Raw genomic sequence first — 6,210 nt, 5'->3', positions numbered from 1 at the left:
TATGAAAAGAAGTTCTCCTGCACATACTCTCTTTTGCCTGTCACCATGCAAGTCGTGACTTTGCTCTTCCTTTGCCTTTCACCATGACTGTGAGGCCTCCCCAGCCATGTGGAACTATGAGTCACTTAAACCTCTTTCATTTATAAATTACCCAATCTCAGGTATGTCTTTATTAGCAGTGTGAGAACAGACGAATACAACAATATTAATGCAAAAATCATCAACAAAATAGTAGCAAACTAAGTTCTACAATATATTAACAGGATTATTCATTATGATCAAGTGGGATTTAATTCTGGGAGCAAGAATGTTTCAACAATTGCACATCAATCAACATGATACATCACATCAAGAAAATGAAGGATAAAAGCCATATCATTTCAATTGATACTGACAAAGCATTTGATAAAATTAAACATCCATCATTTTTAAAACCCTCAAAATACTGAATATAGATAAAAGCATACCTCAATATAATAAAATTTATATACAACAGATCCACAGTGAGTATCATATTGAATGGGGAAAAACTAAAAGACTTTCCTTTAAAATCTGGAACACAAGGATGTCCACTGTCATTACTATTATTCAACATTGTACTGTAAGTCCTAGCTAGAGTAATCAGACAAGAGAAAGATATGAAGAGAATCCAAATTGGAAAGGAAGAAGTCAAATTGTCCTTGTTTGCTGATGATATAATCTTATATTTGGAAAAACCTATAGATATCACCAAGAAACTATTAAAACTGATAAACAAATTCAGTATATTTATAGGATACAAAATCAATGTACAAAATCAGTAGCATTTCTATATGTCAACAGTGAACAATGTAAAAAATAAATTAAAAAGTAATCCCATATACAATAGCTACACATAAAATTAAATACCTAGAAATTAACTAAAGAATTTAAAATCTCTATAACAAAAACTGAAAAACACTGATGAAGAAAATTGAAGAGAACATTAAAAAATAGAAAAGAATTTTATGTTTATAAATCAGAAAAAAATCAATATTGTTAAAATGTCCATACTACTCAAAGCAATCTATAGATTCAATGCAATCCCCAACAAAATACCAATTACATTCCTCACAGAAATGGAAAAATCAGACCTACAATTTATATGGAACCACAAAAGACCTAGAATAGCCAAAGCTATCCTAAGCAAAAATGACAAGACTGGAGGAATCACATTACCTGACTTCAAATTATACTACAGAGCTACAGTAAGCAAAACAGCATGGCACTGGAATAAAAAGGAGTCAGACGGACCAATGGAACAGAATAGAGAACCTATAAATGAATCCATTTATCTAGAGTGAACTTTTTTTTTTTTTGAGATAGAGTCTTGCTCTGTTGCCCAGGCTGGAGTACAGTGGTGTAATCTTGGCTCACTGCAACCTCCACCTCCTGGGCTCAACTGATTCTGTATTTTTAGTAGAGACAGGTTTTCACCATGTTGGCCAAGCTTGTCTCAAACTCCTGACCTCAAGAGATCCATTTGCCTGGCCCCCCAAACTGCTGGGATTACAAGTGTGAGCCTCCTAACTTATTTTTATAAAGGAGCCAAGAACATACACGAGGAAAAAGTCTTAGATTAATGATGCTGAGAAAACTGGATATCGATATGCAAAAGAATGAAACTAAACCTCTATCTTCCACCATATACAAAAATCAAATTAAAATGCATTAAAGACTTTAATCTGAGACCTCAAACTATGAAACTACTACAAGAAAATATTGGAGAAAATCTCCAGGACATTGATCTGGGCAAAGATTTTCTGAGTAATACCCCACAAGCACCGGTAATCAAAGCAAACATGGACAAATGAGATTACATCCAGTTAAAAAACTTCTGCACAGCAAATAATACAATCAACAATGCACAGAATAGGAGAATATATTTGCAAACTACCCCTCTGACAAGGGATTAATAAGCAGAATATATAGGGAGCTCAAACAATTCAAAAGAAAAAAATATGATCCAATCAAAAAGTGAGCAAAAGATCTGAATAGACATTGATCAAAAGAAGACATAGAAGTGACAATCACATGAAAAGGTGCTCAACATCATCGATCATAAGGTAAATGCAAATAAAAAGTACAGTAAGATACCATCTCACCCCAGTTAAAATGTCTTACATTCAACAGACAGGCAGTAACAAATGCTGGTGAAAATGTGGAGAAAAGGAAGCCCTTGTATACTGTTGGTTAAAATGTAAATTAGTACAACCACTATGAACAGTTTGGTGGTTCCTCAAAAAACTAAAAATAGAGTTACCATATGATCCAGCAATCCCACTGCTGGGTATATACCCAAAAGACAGGAAATCAGTATATCAGGGATATACCTGCACTCCTATGTTTGTTGCAGCACTGTTTACAATAGGTAACATTTGGAAGCAACCTAAGTGTCCATCAACAAATGAATTGATAGAGAAAATGTGCTACATACACACAATAAAGTCTGCAATAAAAAAGAATGAGATTCTATCATTTGCAACAACATAGATGGAACTGGAGATCATTATTTTAGGTGAAATAAGGCACAGAAAGACAAACGTTGAATGTTCTCACCCATTTGTGGGATCTAAAAGTCCAATAAATTGAACTAATGGACATCAAGAGTAGAAGGATGGTTACCAGAGGCTGGGAAAGGTAGTGGGAGGCTGAGGGGGGGAGGAGGTGGGGAGAGTTAATGGGTCCAATAAAATAGAATGAATAAGATCTACTATCTGACTGTACAAGAGGGTGATTATAGTCATAATAACTTAATTATATATTTGTAAATAACTAAAAGAACATAATTGGATTGTTTGTAATTCAAATAATAAATGGTTGAGGTGATGGATATCCTATTTCCCCTTATGATATGCTTATTTCACATTGCATGCCTTTATCAAAACATCTCATGTACCCCATAAATATATACACCATGTACCCACAAAAATGTTAAAAAATAATTTAATTTTTTTAAATCTTTTTAAAAAATATATATGACAAGCCTATAGCTAACATCATACTTAATTGTAAAAAACTGAAAGTTTTATCTCTGAGATTGAGAAGAAGAAAAGAATGCCCACTCTTGCCACTTCTATTTAAAAGCACTGGAAGTCCTAGAGAGCAAATAGAAAATAAAAAGAAATAAACAGCATCCAAATAGGAAAGGAGTAAATTATCTATTTATTTATTTGTTTGTTTTTTATTTTATTATTAATATACTTTAAGTTTTAGGGTACATGTGCACAATGTGCAGGTTTGTTACATATGTATACATGTGCCATGTTGGTGTGCTGCACCTTTTAACTCATCATTTAGCATTAGGTATATCTCCTAATGCTATCCCTTCCCCCTCCCCCAACCCTACAACAGTCCCCGGTGTGTGATATTCCCCTTCCTGTGTCCATGTGTTCTCATTGTTCAATTCCCACCTATAAGTGAGAACATGTGGTGTTTGGTTTTTTGTCCTTGTGATAGTTTGCTGAGAATGATGGTTTCCAGCTTCATCCATGTCCCTACAAAGGACATGAACTCATCATTTTTTATGGCTGCATAGTATTCCATGGTGTATATGTGCCACATTTTCTTAATCCAGTCTATCATTGTTGGACATTTGGGTTGGTTCCAAGTCTTTGCTATTGTGAATAGTGCTGCAATAAACATATGTGTGCATATGTCTTTATAGCAGCATGATTTATTTAAAGATAGCACTGTCTTATATATAGAAGGCCCTAAGTACTCCACCAAAATAACTGTTAGAACTAATGAATGAATTGAGTAAAGTTGCAGGACACAAAAGCAACATAAAAAATTGTAAGCATTTTTATAAACTAAAAATGAACTATCTGAAGAAGTAATCCAGAAAACTGCCCCATTTGCAATGGTTGTAAAAAATAAAATGTCTACGAATAAATTTAACCAAGGAGGTAAAAGATCTCTACACCCAAAACTATACGACAATGATGAAAGAAACTGAAGAAGACTCAAACAAATAGAAAGATATACCATGTTCATGGATTGGAAGAATTAATATTGTTAAAAAATCCATATTACTGAAAGTGGTCTACAGATTCAATGCAATCCCTGTCAAAACTCCAATGAAATTTTCACAGAAATAGCAAAAGAAATTATAAAATTCACATGGAACCACAAAAGATCTGAATAGCCAAAGCAATCTTGAACAAAAATTTAAAAACTGTTTCTAATTATATTACAAAGCAACAGTAATCAAAACAGCATGGTACTGATATAAAAACAGATACATAGATCAATGGAAGAAAAGAGAGAGACCAGAAATAAATCCAACAGTTTATGGTAATTTGATCTAAAAAAAAAGCCAAGAAAACACAAGGGGGATATGACAGTCTCTTCAATAAATACTGTTGGCAAAAGTAGATATCCACATGCTGATGAATGACATTGGACCCTTATTCACCTCATATACAAAAATCAACTCAAAATAGATCAAAGATTCAAATGTAAGATTTGAAAGCATAAAATTACCAGAAGAAAATAAGGCCAAAGCTTTATGACATTTGTCTTGGCAGTAATTTTTTTTAATGGCACCAGAAGCACAGGGAACAAAAGGAAAAATATACAACTGAGACTTCATCAATCTAATGTTTCTCCATAGCAAAGAAAAAAATGAAATCAATGGAAGCGTAGGTAATGAGAAAAAATATTTGCAAGTCATATATCTGATTGGAGGTTAATATCCAAAAATATAAGAAATTCATACAACTCAATAGCAAAAAAAAAAAGAAAAGAAAAATTATCAAAGACCCTGAATAGAAATTTTTTCAAAGAAGAAATGCAAATGGCCAACAGGTATGTGAAAAAATGTCCAACATCACCAATCACCAGGAAAATGCAAATCAAAACTACAATTAAATATCACCACACACCTGTTAGAATGGCCATTATCAAAAGTAAAAAGATAAGTATTGGTGAGGATGTGAAGAAAAGGAACCCCTTGTACACTGTTGTTGAGAATGTATTATAAATTGGTAAAGTCATTATGAAATTAGTATGGAGGTTCCTCAAAATCTTAAAAATAAAATAACCGTATTATCTGGCAGTCTCCCTTTCTGAGTATATATACAAAGAAAATAAAATCACTTCTCAAAGACATACTGCACCCCCAGTGCTCACTGGAGCATTATTCACAATAGCCTAGAAAACAACTTACATGTTTATTGATGGGTGAATGAATAAAGAAAATATGGTGTATATATACATATGTATATATATACACACACCATATATATATGTATACACCATATATATATATATATATATATATGATAAAATAATATTCAGCCTTAAAAATGAAGAAAATTCTGTTATTTGTTACAACACATATAAACCTGGAGGGCATTATGCAAAGTAAAATAAGCCAGATACAGATAGTCAATTACTGCATGATCTCACTTATATGTGAACTCTGAAACAGTTGAACTTATAGAAGCAGAGAGTGGAAGGGTGATGGCCAGTGGCTGGGGTGAAGGAAATGAAGAGATAGTTTTCAAAGGGCACAGACCTTCAATTGCAAGATGAATGAGTTCTGGACTCCTGATGTACAAAATGATGACTATAGTTAATAAAGTATTGTATACGTGAAATTTAAGAGAGTTGATCTTTAGTATTCTCACCAGAAAAAAACAAGTGGTAATAACGGGAGGTGATAGGTATGTTAATTAGCTTGATTGTGGTAATCCATTCATAATGTATTGTATATGTGTATCAAAACATCATGTACAACTTAAATATATACAATTTCATTTCACAATTATACCTCAGTAAAGCTGGTTTAAAAAAAAAGAAGTGTGCAATTAGAAATTCATTGGGTAACAGAGTAACAGACTGGGAACTTGTTTCTAGAATTTGAGAAATGAATAAGCTGAATAAGCTGAAATCAATCATATGCATAGGAGACAAGAATAACTACCTACTGTAACAGTGACTGGGTAGGTAATCATCAAAACATTTTTCTCCTCATTTTCCTGGGCACATGCCTAGAATAAATTTCCCCCTCTCCTCTGCAGTCCTCTTGCAGGGGACTGAGTTATATTTGAAAGAATGTGAGTAGAAGATACATATCAGTTCTAGGACTGGCCAATAAAAATCTCCCATGTAAAATCCTCCATGGGCAATCAGGCAAGAGAAATAAAAAGAAGGTATCCAAATAGGAAAAGAAAAAGTAAAATTATC

The sequence above is a fragment of the Homo sapiens genome, chromosome X, assembly GCF_000001405.40.
Source record: "Homo sapiens chromosome X, GRCh38.p14 Primary Assembly".
NCBI classification, from domain to species: domain Eukaryota; kingdom Metazoa; phylum Chordata; class Mammalia; order Primates; family Hominidae; genus Homo; species Homo sapiens.
Note: the sequence above shows the minus strand (reverse complement) of the source record.